We start from the raw sequence: 12,821 nt of genomic DNA on the forward strand, positions 1-12,821 counted from the left end.
GATACTAACTCTATGGAGGGCAATTGTCATTATCTTTCAAAATGATGTGTCTACCATTTGACTCATTTGATCCATTTCTAGAAATTCATCTATAGATAAGTGGGAAACAGCATATATACACAACTGTTGCAGCATATTTAGTAGTAGCAAAATATTAGAAACAATCTAAAAGTTTCTCAATAGAGTACAAGTCAAATAAATTTGGTACATCCATAAAATGGTGTTGCATGCAACCATTAAAAATGAGCCAGACCAAATATATATGGATATATTAAGTAAAAAAAAAGAAAAATAGAGGGCAAAATAGTGGAAAGGGATGCTGCAATTTGTGAATAAAATGTTTTTGGATATCCACACATAAAAGAAGGAAGGTGGACCCCTACTTCACATCATGAACAAAACTTAAATCAAAATAGATTATAGAACCAAATGTAAGAGATAAAACTGTTAAACTCTTAGAAGAAAATATAGGAGTAAATATTTGCAGTCTTGGGCTAGGCAAAGTTTCTTTGATAGAACACCAAAAGCATAAGAACAAAAGAACTAGATAAATTTGGCTTCATTAAAATTTAAAATTTTCGTGCTTCAAAGGACACTATCAAGAAAGTGAAAAGGCAACACACAGAATGGGTGAAAATATTTGCAAATCATCTATCTGATAAGACACTTGTATCCAGAACATATAAACAACTCCTGCCACCTAATAACAAAAAGACAATTCGATTTTTCAAAATAGGCAAGGGATTTGAATAAACATTTCTCCAAAAAAATATCCAAATGACCAATAAGCGTATGAAAGCATGCTTAACATCATTAGTCATTGGGTAAACGCAAATCAAAATCACACCCACTAAGAGAGCAAAAATAAAAAGTGACAGACAATAAATAACAAGTGTGGGCAAGAATTAGAGAAATTAGAGCCCTGATTCATTACTGGGGACATTGTAAAATGGTGCAGACATTTTGAAAAACAGTTTGGAACTTTCTTGAAGGGTTAAACATAAGGTTATCATATGACCCAGCAATTTTACTCCTAGAAATATACCCAAGAAAATTGAAACATTTGTGTCTTTATTTATTTATGTATTTATTTAGGGACAGAGTCTTCCTCTGTTCCCCAGGCTGGAGTGCAGTGGTGCTATTATGGCTTACTGCAGCCCCGACCTCCCAGACTCAAGCGATCCTTCCATCTTAGTCTCCCAAGTAGCTAGGACCACAGGTGTGCACCACCACACCCAGCTAATTTTTGGATTTTTTTTGTAGAGATGGGGGTCTCACTATTTGCCCAGGCTGAGCTCAAACTCCTGGGCACAAGTCATCCACCTACCTTGGCCTCAGGGATTATAGGTGTGAGCCACTGCACCCAGCCAAAACATTTGTGTTTACAAAAACTTGTACATGAAAGTTCATGCAGCGCTATTCATAATAGCCAAAAAGTAGAAGCAACCCAAATTTTTATCAGCTTATGAATGGACAAACAAAATCTGTAATGTCCGTACAATGCTATATTATATTAGCTATTTGTTGCCTCCAGACCGTCACTCAAGTCATTTCACTCACCTGAGACTTCCTCACTTTCCTTTCTCCTTTTCACTTCGTTCTTCAACATCTAGCCCTGAACTCATCTTCAAGACCATTATTATACCCACTTTGTGTCTCTAAGCATTTATAGATGGTATTTTTATCATCATCATCATTATTACTTTAATTCATGCCCACTGACCCCAGTCACCATCTTCAATGCACGTGCACAGCAATGGTCTCCCCTCAGAGTGAATTCCTCCAGATTTTCCACCTGGCTGAAAAGAAGGGGCTCTTCTTTGCAAACAACATGGTATCTTTATGGTAGGAGGGATGCAGGTGATAGCCTCAAGGAGACGTGTCACTTGTCCCTCCAGGAAGCACTTTGGCCATCATGGATCCCACCATCCTCCAGCCATATCCGAATTCATGACAGACACATATTTTAGATATTGTTCTCAGTTTTCTGACACACTATCTGAAAAGTGTCTTACTAATTAGCGCTGCCTGTTGGATCTATTTGTCATCTCCTCAAACAGGCTTACACTGCTCAAAATAGCAGTGGAGTGGCTTTGTACTGCATCAACTTTGCTAAGCTGGGACTGTTTCCTAGGTTTCCATTCTATGTATGGTTCCAGGGTTAGCACTAAATACTGGAAAAATTCTCACAAGATTTAATGAAGACAGAACATCCCCATGCATTCCAGCTGACTTCATTGGCCCTAGTTTGTCCTTGGAGTTCTCATTTGTCCTTGCTCACCTCCACCAACCCCCACAGTTGTGTCATGACTATCCCTTTAATAAATCCCTTGTTCTGAACAAGTGTTGGCAAGGGTGCAGACAAAAGAGAACCTTTGTACACTGTTGGTGGGAATGTAGAATGGTGGAGCCAAGACGGAAAATATTATGGAGGTTCCTGAAGAAGTTAGAAATAGAACTACCATATATGACTTAGCTATCCCTCATCTGGGCATATACCCAAAGGAAATGAAATCACCAGCTCATGAAGATATTTGCACTCTCATGTTCCTTGCAGCATTATTCACAATAGCCAAGGTATGAAAACAACACCTGCCCACCATCCAAGGAGCAACTGACATCACAGACCTGGTATATATACATATATATGTACTAATATATATATATATATATGTATGAGCATCACTATAAACACATCACACCAGCATCACTATAAACACATGAGTAATGTGTTGCTACAATGTTAAGATGGCCATGAGGTATTAAAAAATTTTCTGTTCCATTTTAATCTTGTGGGGCCACTGCCACGTACGCTGTCCCTCATTGACTGAGACATCGTTACACAGTGCATGACCGTACAGATTGAGGTTAAGGGATTACTACGGTTAGGCAGACTAACATACCTGTCATATATATATATATATATATATATATATATATATATATATATATGTGTGTGTGTGTGTGTGTGTGTGTGTGTGTGTGTGTGTGTATGTGTTGTATTTTGGTCTTTGTTTAGAAGTTTGATAATGTTTTTGTGACCACAAATATGCCATAGGAACTTCACTTTTGTTTATATCAATTAGCCTATGGGAAAATTGGTTTTGTTTTGTCATTCTGGTTAAACTCAACAGTTTCCAAGAACCTACCAACAATGTGAAGTGAGGACTTACTGGACCATGAAAAGAAATAAAAAGGAATCTTCATTCTGTATCACTTTGCATTCTCTGATCAAACCCTGACTACTTTATCCTGTCCTCAGTGTTTCGGGTCCCCCTCTTCTCCCCAACCCTAATGCTTACCCCATAGTTTCCACAACATATAACCAAGATTTTCTGGGATTCTTCTCATTTCATATAATTTTTAACAATGAAGAAGAGGCTTTTTTTTTCAGTGTATCATTAATTGTTAAATAATTTATATTCTTTTTATAAGGTTTTTCACAGAAGTGAATTAGCAATTTAGAAAATTTCCTGGCCGGGCGCGGTGGCTCAAGCCTGTAATCCCAGCACTTTGGGAGGCCGAGGCGGGCGGATCACGAGGTCAGGAGATCAAGACCATCCTGGCTAACGCGGTGAAACCCCGTCTCTACTAAAAATACAAAAAATTAGCGGGCGCCTGTAGTCCCAGCTACTTGGGAGGCTGAGGCAGGAGAATGGCGTGAACCCGGGAGGCGGAGCTTGCAGTGAGCCGAGATCGCGCCACTGCACTCCAGCCTGGGCGACAGAGCCAGACTCTGTCTCAAAAAAGAAAAAAAAAAAAAGGAAAATTTCCTTTTGGTCCACTTAATTGGAAAAGTAAGGTCACTGTACATATGTCTTCTGGTACGTGGATTAGCAAGTGCACACTCCAGAATAAATAAACAAAACAAGTCAGAGTGTTCCCCCCCTCCCGCCCCGAGAGCCCAGGTGACAGCTTCCATCTCAAATAATATGTGTTCAGATGCACAGAGGGAAAATCAGACTGGATTAAAAGGAAAACAAACAATAGGAACTGTATCAAGATCCCAGCAGAAGAAATCATTCAACTCAGGTGGTTTAGATGAAGAGAGTTTAATCACAGAGGTGCACAGGGTGAAAGGAGTAACCAGATGATGAAGACCCAGAGAGGAGCAACGGCAGGAAGCTGCTACCTCCCCTAAATCGGAAGAAACGAGAGAGGAAATGGAGCCCGGTGAGGCCTGGAGCCATGGTGAGGCCTCTACCAGAAGCGGGAGTCACAGAGTCACTGCCAGAAGCAAGGCTCAAAGCTGGGAGGGAGCATGGGGGACAGGACACCCTGGCATCCTCTGCCCTCCACCCTAATTCTCTTTCCTCCTGCCCTCCATTCTCCTGATGGAGCCTGGCTCTGATTCTACCTAACAAGAAACCAAGGCAAGGGAGCCAAGGTGATAGGATCCAAGGCTCAGACCAGGGCAGAGAGGAGGTTAGAGCAGGTCCAGTTGTGGTGAAGGAGGGGCGTGGCAAATAGTTTCATCTTTGTGCTTTGTCAACACAAAGACTAAACTAGGTCTGGGTGCGGTGGCTCATGCCTGTGATCCCAGCACTTTGGGAGGCCAAGGCGTGGATCACCTGAGGTCAGGAGTTCAGACCAGCTTGGCCAACACATTTTCCACTTATTTTCACCACAAACAGCTGTATTATCAGCATTATTATTTTTGAACTTTGTCAGTCTTGGTAACATAGAAATATTTACTTATAATTCCTTGGTGAAGTAACAGGAGTGTTGCTGTTACCGGAAAGGGGTCTGGATCCAGACCCCAAGCGAGAGTTCTTGAATCTTGTGCAAGAAAGAATTCAGGGCAAGTCCGTAAAGTGAAAGCAAGTTTATTGGGAAAGTGAAGGAATAAAAGAATGGCTACTCCATAGGCAGAGCAGCCCCGAGGGCTGCTGGTTGTCCATTTTTATGGTTATTTCTTGATGATATGCTAAACAAGGGGTGGATTATTCATGCATCCCCTTTTTAGACCTTATCGGGTAACTTCCTGTCATTGCCATGGCATTTATAAACTGTCATGGCGCTGGTGAGAGTGTAGCAGTGAGGATGGCCAGAGGTCACTCTCGCCACCGTCTTGGTTTCGGTGGGTTTTAGTCGGCTTCTTTACTGCAACCTGTTTTATCAGCAAGGTCTTTATGACCTGTACCTTGTGCTGACCTCCTGTCTCATCCTGTGACTTAGAATGCCTAACTGCCTGGGAATGTAGCCCAGCAGGTCTCAGCCTTATTTCACCCAGCCCCTCTTCAAGATGGAGTTGCTCTGGTTCAAAAGCCTCTGACACTATTGTTCTCAGGTTTTCAGTTATCCTTACCAAGCTTTCTTTCAGAAGCCTCTCTCTCAAGACGCCCTTGTGTCTTGTGACGTGAAATAGGAGGAGAGAAAGTGGAAGAAGCTGGGTGGAGAAAATGAAGGCAGGAGCCCTTCTTCTTACCAATAGAACAACTGTGGTTTAAAAAAAAGGAAATGGAATGAGAACTATGGAGGGAATTTTGCAGATAGGTTCTTAGGCTCTCTGGGACTAATGACATGGAGTGAAGGAAAATGTTTGGTCTTAGAGATGGTAAACAGGTGACTTACACAGAACAAAGAGATGTGATAAAAGAGGAAGTGTTAAGGAATTTGAATTGAGTACTGACAAAGACTGGTACTGTTGTCCTTATGCATTGGGCAAAGTGGGCTGCAGAATTGCTCGACCTTCCAGGTGAAGTTAATGTTGGCCGCTAGGTGGCAATCACATGTCTTCAATAACCGAAGACATCGCAGGCCTGAGTAACTGGCCTTCCTGGTGAGTTTCATCAGTCCATCCACTGTCAGAGAATTATAGTTTCAAAGTCTGCTTGGATGCATTTTAATATTAAATCAATTTGTGAGTGCTCATTATGATTCGTCAAAATCATGGCCCCAAGCAGCTACTGTTTTCAAAGTAAGTGATGTGTGGTTTTCCTTCCACTGTTTGGGTGTTTACACTTAGAGCTTCCTCCTACTTCTTCTCCTTAGGAACTTGACACTATTTCTGCCATAGAAATGATGTTCCAGGCAACTATTTCTTACAAAAACAATAAATAGAACAGGTCTTGGGTCTGAAACAATTGGCCAGCTGAGATTTTGTTTTGTATTCATTTGGTTTTCCTGCTTGGTAGATTTAAACAAAGCTTTCCAACATTTTACTTTCGAAGCAAGATTCACACTGAAAAAACCATGTTACAGCACAATGTTGTAGACGCTAATCTATTCTGATGGATGTGTTTTTTATAGGTCTTCATTTGATTTAATATATATTTAAAACTGAGTTTGTCTGCCTGGTGAGAGATGAAGGAAATACAAATATAATCACTTTACAAAATAAATGCCTAAGATGGGGAACACTCAGCATATAGTGTTTATATATATTCACACACCAAGAAATAATCAAATATAATGATGCCAGCATTGATCGTAGATTTTCATAGCCACATATTTCTTGAGTGGTTTGTGCTAGCAAGGGAGACCCAGAGAGTCAGATGCACTCAAGCTTTTGTAATGAGGTGGTGCAGCATCTTCAATCCCCAGGGTATCTCCTATAACTTTCTACAGGATCTGATGCCATGCTAGAGAGTTGCGAAGCTCTGAATAGCTTTGCTTACATAGAGTGTTGGGTGTTTTGAGATTTATTTTGGAAGAGAAAGGAGAGAAGTTTCTCTGAGACATAGCAGGTCATATGTGGCTGAGCCTACAGCAAGGCCAGTGAAAGTGATTATGAGTCACTCATAGCCTAGGAGTGTGTCCCAACAGATATTTCTGATTTGGCCCCAGGCCACCATCAGACTATGTTGTCTTAAGTTGTCATATCTGGTAACTGCAAAAATAAACCATTTTAGTTGTCATATAAGATATTGTCATGTAAGTATTGACCTCTTCAAATGAATAATCATCTCAAGACCTTCAAACAAGAAGTGGTTCTAAGGTTGCATATAAGCATTACATATCGATGAAAACATTGATCACAGACATATTACAGCTGAGTACCAAGTGCTACTGGAGTCACAGCAACATCAGTTCTGGATTATCAATGTTTATGTCCAAAGGGGAGATAAATTGTTGACAAGGTAGTAGTCAGGGTAAGTCAATAGTTCAGTGGGAAAGCATTAGGGACAGATCTTTTTAGCTTTACCCTCTTTACCCACCAAACACTCATTTTTAATTAGGAACAGATTCAATGTGAAGGATAGGCTCACTCATCACTGTGGTGAGACATTGTTCTCATGTCCTTCACTGCCCACACTCTTTTTATTTTTATTTTTTTATTTTTTATTTTTTTATGAGACGGAGTCTCGCTCTGTCGCCCAGGCTGGAGTAAAGTGGCACAATCATGGCTCACTGCAGCTAAGACCTCCCCCGGCTCAGGTGATCCTCTCATCTCAGCCTCCAAAGTAGCTAGGACTACAGGCACCTACCTGGCTGATTTTTCTATTTTTTTGTAGAGATGATTTTGCCTTGTTGCCCAGGCTGGTCTCAAACTCCTGGGCTCAAGAGACCTGCCCGCCTCAGCCTCCCAAAGTGCTGGGATTACAGGCGTGAGCCACACCACCCGGCCATTGCCTACACTCTTTATCCAGAGTTTATTTGGTGATTTTCACCTCATTTTTGTGCTCAGTCTTAAGATCTGATTAATGCCAAAAATAAATAATCTAATTTCAAAATAATATAAGTTCATATTACGTATAGACATGTTTGTGCACATATGCATATGATGAGCTTCACGTATACAACTATTCATACATTTATATTTTTATCATTCATATATGCATGCATGTGTGTAAGAGGACTTGGCCTTTCTTATTTAAAACTGATCATATATTAATATATATAAGAAGGACAGAGAATGGAAGGCCATACACCTCCATGTTAGCAGTAGTTATCTCACAAGGGTAGAATTACTTCCTTTGCTGATTTCTCTTCTATTCTTTTTTTGTCTGTGATTTTCATGTTTTCTGCAATAATCAAATATTACTTTTATAAATAGAAAAAACCCATAATGTAATGGTTTTGGAAAAGTGTATTTGACTTTAGTAACAAAGTAGTCTGTTCTAACAAAAAAGCAAGGTAAAATTGGTCTTAGGGCCTGACAGCTCAGGTGACCCTTAACTCACTGCTTAATTGGCACTGACTTGGCCAACATCACCTCAGTGTTTTCTCATCTGAAGCAGAGAAGATATTTGCTAAGCCCTATTCAGGGCTGTTGAGGAATCAAATGAGAAGGTTATCCGAAAGCACTTTGTGATTAGACTGCATATATAAAAACATGCTGACTTCACTGTGACAGTTGCATTTTCCGTGAACTGGCTGTGCACCTCCTGTTATAGGGAGTTCCCAGGAGCCGGGTCATGCCCGAGCCTTCCTGTGGAACTCCCCGAAGAACTTGGTCCCTCATTTGGGAACAGCAACAATCAAGAAGACCTGCCAATGTCAGAACTGGAAGAGTACCAGATTCCCAGATTTAGTTCCAACAGTCAAGAGTCAAGGTTTGTTTCATCGGATATCCTGACCATGGAATTCCACAGGAACTAGGGTGGTTGAATCAATAATAGGACACTCAGGTACATTTGAATTTCAGATACAGGTACATAACAAATAATTTTTAGTATGAGTATGTCCCAAATATTGCACAGAATTCATGTACATCAAAAAACATTTGTTGTTTATCTGAAATTCAAATTTAACTGAGTTTCCTGTCTGTATTTTTTTGTTAAATCTAGTCATCCTAATGGAAACTTTTACCCCCTCTCACTAGTTTGGTTGGTTGGTTGGTTGGTTGGTTGGTTGGTTTTTACTTATTAACTTCAGCTTCTTAATGAGAATTTAGGTTTTACAAATACAGTCGTCCTTTGGTGTGCATGGGAGATTGGTTCTAGGACCTCCCTCAGACACCAAAATCCACAGATGCGCAAGTCCTTGATACAAAATGGTGCAGTATTTGCATATAACCTATGCACAACCTCCTGTATACTTTATGTCATCTCTAGATTACTTAAGATCTCTAGATTGCTAATATAAATGCTATGTAAATAATTGTTACACTGTGTTATTTAGGAAATAATGATGAGGAAAAAAGTCTGTACATGTTTAGTACAAATGCAATTTGTTTCCAAATACTTTTTATCCATGGCTAATTGGATCCAGTCATGGAATCCACAGATACTGAGGGCCAACTGCATATGCTCAGGGCCTTTCAGATAAGGCACCCTCTGTAAGTGCACCTGACATATGCTAAACAATGATAGGCTATTGCAACAGCATCAGCAGGGCTGGCAGGGTGCTAAGGAAGCACACAGGTGACTGTTGGGGCACCCACCAGCATTCTTTCAGAACATTGTAAACGGTAGAGAGCTTCAAGGGTGACTGTCTGGGTCACATCTTGCCCTTTAATTGGCCTGGCTGTTGTGCAAAGGAAGCACCTGCAGCCATCAGCGTGTTCAACCACCAGTAGACTGGAGTCATTTTTCATTCTTGGATGTGAAATTGGCCAGGGGCAATTAAGAATTGGGAAACTAGAAAAGGCAGCCCGGTGTCAAGGAGGTCAAGATTGGGCCACAGCCTTGCTTCCCACAAGGTCTGTCTTGTCTCTGGATAGTGGGAGAGTTGAGGCAAGGGAGTCTGGAATTATTATAAAAGGCAGCTTTTCTTGAAGCAAACAGCCAGCCAGGCAGCACAGCTTCCAAGCTGAGAGTCTGAAGGGCCTGAGCCAGTGCCCCTTCCCAACAAGCCAGATACCCCGAGGCCCCACCACTGGCCTCACACTCTGGGGACGCCTAAGCATTTCAATTAGACTATAGCATTCTCTGTCCTCTGCTAAATTCATTACCAAAAGAAAACAGAATCGAGGATAAAAGAAGAGACATGGTGGCAAGTCAGGAGTCCTGGCCATGTGGACTTAGTCATGGCTTCACTCCTCTGAACTTCAGTTTCTTCATTTATAAATTAAAAGGTAGAACTCCATGATTGCTGAGGTTACATCCAACTCTATAATGCTGGTGTATAAGGGAGATGCAGGATCAATAAGCTTTGGTAAGGAAACAGATTTTCTCACAGCTTAGAATATCAGACTCTGTTCAGGATTCTAGATTTGTTTTAGAATGGGGCCCTAGGTTGCCAAGGGGGTACAGTGAGACCACCTGGGAGTAGCTGGAGAAACAAGAATAAGGAAGGGGCCAACACCTCTGCGACTTACCACTGACACTCTTCATTCCACTCCTGATAAGGCCCAGCTCTTAAAGATAAGGCCATTGTGGCCCAGCGCAGTGGCTCACGCCTATAATCCCAGCACTTTGGGAGGTCGAGGCGGGCAGATCACTTGAGGCCAGAAGTTCAAGACGAGCCTGGCCAACATGGCAAAACCTCATCTCAACTAAAAATACAAAAATTAGCTGGACATAGTGGCTAATTTTTGTGGTCCCAGCTACTTTGGAGGCTGAGGCAGGAGAATCACTTGAACCCGGGAGGTGGAGGTTGCAGTGAACTGAGATCTTGCCACTGCACTCTGTCTCCAAAAAAAGAAAAGATAAGCCCATTGTCCTATATGGGAGAAACTGATTGCAAATTCAATGACCATTTATTGTGTTCTTTTTCCAAGCCAGGAAAAGTCTAGGCTACTAGAGAATAAATTGTAAATAGTTGCTAGTCTGTGCTGAGTTTCCTTTATTCATTACTAATTCAATTAATGTTTATTGAGCATCTGCTCCATATCAGGACTATTCTAAGCTCTGAAGATGCTGTATTGGAAGCCTTTCCCCATCCACCAGCAGAATATGAGGAAATAGTCTGCAAAATGTAACTGCTTCTCCAGCTGCTAATTGCACAAAAGCAGGTACCGTGTTACTCTGAGGTTTAGTTCTACCTTGTTCCCGGTCTTCATTGACCCATCTTGTTTTGAATAATCATGAGAGAAGCAAGGAGAATGTTATTAGCTGAGTTGTGTCACCCCAAAATTCATATGTTGAAGTTCTAATCCCCAGTATCTCATTTGCAGATGGGGTCTTTGCGGATGATTAAGTTCAGATGAGGTCATGGGGGTAGGCCCTAATCCAATACGATTGTGTCCTTATGAAAAGGGAAAATTGGACACAGAGACAGACATGAAGTTGGAGAGAGCACCATGTAAAGATGAAGGCAGGAATCGGGACAATTTTCAAGCCAAGAAACACCCAAGATTGCCAGGAAACCAGCAGAAGCTAGAAGGAAGACATGGAACAGAATCTCCTTCACAGTCTTCAGAAGGAGCCACCCCTGCCAACATCTGGATGATCTTGGACTTCAAGCTTCCAGAGCTGTTCAAGCCTCCGAACAATACATTTCTGTTGATTAAGCCATGTAGTTTGTGGCACTTTATTATAGTAGCCCTAAGAAATGAATACAGGGCCAGGTATGGTGGCTCACACCTGTAATCTCTGCACTTTGGGAGGCTGAGGCAGGAGGATCACTTGAGACCAGCCTGGGCAACATAATGAGACCCTGTCCCTACTAAAAAATTTTAAAACAAAAATTAGCCAGATGTGGTGGCACATGTAGTCCCAGCTACTCAGGAGGCTGAGATGGGAGGATCACTTGAGCCAGAGAGGTCAAGGCTGCAGTGAGCCGTGATCGCACAACTACACGCCAGCCTCCATGACAGAGAGAGACTCTGTTTAAAAAAATAATAATAAAAGAAACAAATATAAAGAGCTTTGGTCATACTGTGCTACTCTCATTGCTTAGGCTACAAGTGGGTATAGTGTCCCATGGCAACTTCAGGATGCAAGGCCTATAATGCTCTAGGGCCAGGGCCCAGAACCTTTTGAAGAGTTGCCAAGAGCAAGTCAGGGCCTAAGGAACTGCCTAGGGCTAGAGTTCTGGGGCCAGCCTGTTCTTCACACCAGCCGGCTCTGACTTCTCACAGGGCCCAGTGACTTTCTTCATGCCCTCCCCTTGCTCCTCATGGATGTAGGAGGGCCTGTCCTTGGGCCTCTCCAGCACCTCCCAGCCCAGCCCAGGCCACGGCCCCACTCCACCTCTGTTTTGAGGACTAACTTTCATTTTTCATTGCATGTTCTTCTGACCTCTAATTTTTGGCCCAATCCGGATTTTGCCTTTGGCTCTCTAGATTAGACACAGAGCTCATGGAGGCTGTGCTGCAATTTGAACCAGGGATAGGACAAGAATGTCAGAGGCTGTTTAGGGATCGTGGAGTGGGGGAGGGTTATAGAGAAAGAATGCATTTGGCTCAGATCATATTAAAAAATCAAAACAACTCATACTTTGAGTTTCCCAAGTGCTTTGGTGTATATTGCCCTTGAGCTATACAATGCAGCCCCTGGGGGACAGTTAAGATGGGTGTCCTTATTATTTTATTTACATCTCCATGTTAAAAATGAAGGAACTGAGGCTCACCCAGGTTACACAACTTGACTGAAATCACACAGTCCATGCGGGAGCCAGCATTTGGTTTTAAGTACAAGTTCTTTCTGCTCTGCCACGCTCTCCCCGCATAGATCAGCGCTCAGAAGCTAAAGGAGGATGCAGAGCCTGGACTGAGAGGACACAGGCAGACGCAGACCAGACATACTGACTTGGCTCTCCCTCCTCAGCAAGTAGCAACTGGCCAAATACCACACACGAATAACAAACACCTTGCATTTATATAACACCTCACAATTGACAGTGCTTTTACAAGCATTGTCTCATTCCATCCTCACAAATAAACCCATGAGGTAAGCAGGATGAACTCGGTTATTCTTTTTTTTTTTTTTTTTTTTTTGAGACAGGGTCTCACTCTGTCGCCCAGGCTGCTGTGGCGCAATCACAGCTCACTG

At 42.1% G+C, this 12,821-nt stretch overlaps 1 long non-coding RNA gene across 1 annotated transcript, besides 3 other annotated features; it reads left to right on the top strand.

The window, feature by feature from the left end:
• Positions 5,438–5,961: an enhancer, noted in NCBI's record as "OCT4-NANOG-H3K27ac hESC enhancer chr5:34523136-34523659 (GRCh37/hg19 assembly coordinates)". NCBI's record gives its function as "activates a minimal SCP1, AML or CMV promoter by ChIP-STARR-seq in naive H9 embryonic stem cells {active_cell/tissue: H9 hESC(naive)}" and the evidence as "EXISTENCE:reporter gene assay evidence [ECO:0000049][PMID:30033119]".
• Positions 8,363–11,382, top strand: LOC124900958 (uncharacterized). Its single transcript, XR_007058727.1, has 3 exons — positions 8,363–8,498; positions 10,723–10,840; positions 11,003–11,382. It is a non-coding gene; the product is annotated as an uncharacterized LOC124900958 (long non-coding RNA).
• Positions 8,968–9,468: an enhancer, noted in NCBI's record as "H3K27ac hESC enhancer chr5:34526666-34527166 (GRCh37/hg19 assembly coordinates)". NCBI's record gives its function as "activates a minimal SCP1, AML or CMV promoter by ChIP-STARR-seq in primed H9 embryonic stem cells {active_cell/tissue: H9 hESC(primed)}" and the evidence as "EXISTENCE:reporter gene assay evidence [ECO:0000049][PMID:30033119]".
• Positions 9,469–9,969: an enhancer, noted in NCBI's record as "H3K27ac hESC enhancer chr5:34527167-34527667 (GRCh37/hg19 assembly coordinates)". NCBI's record gives its function as "activates a minimal SCP1, AML or CMV promoter by ChIP-STARR-seq in primed H9 embryonic stem cells {active_cell/tissue: H9 hESC(primed)}" and the evidence as "EXISTENCE:reporter gene assay evidence [ECO:0000049][PMID:30033119]".
• Positions 11,383–12,821: the final 1,439 nt, after the last annotated feature.

The sequence above is a fragment of the Homo sapiens genome, chromosome 5 (assembly GCF_000001405.40).
Source record: "Homo sapiens chromosome 5, GRCh38.p14 Primary Assembly".
NCBI lineage: Eukaryota > Metazoa > Chordata > Mammalia > Primates > Hominidae > Homo > Homo sapiens.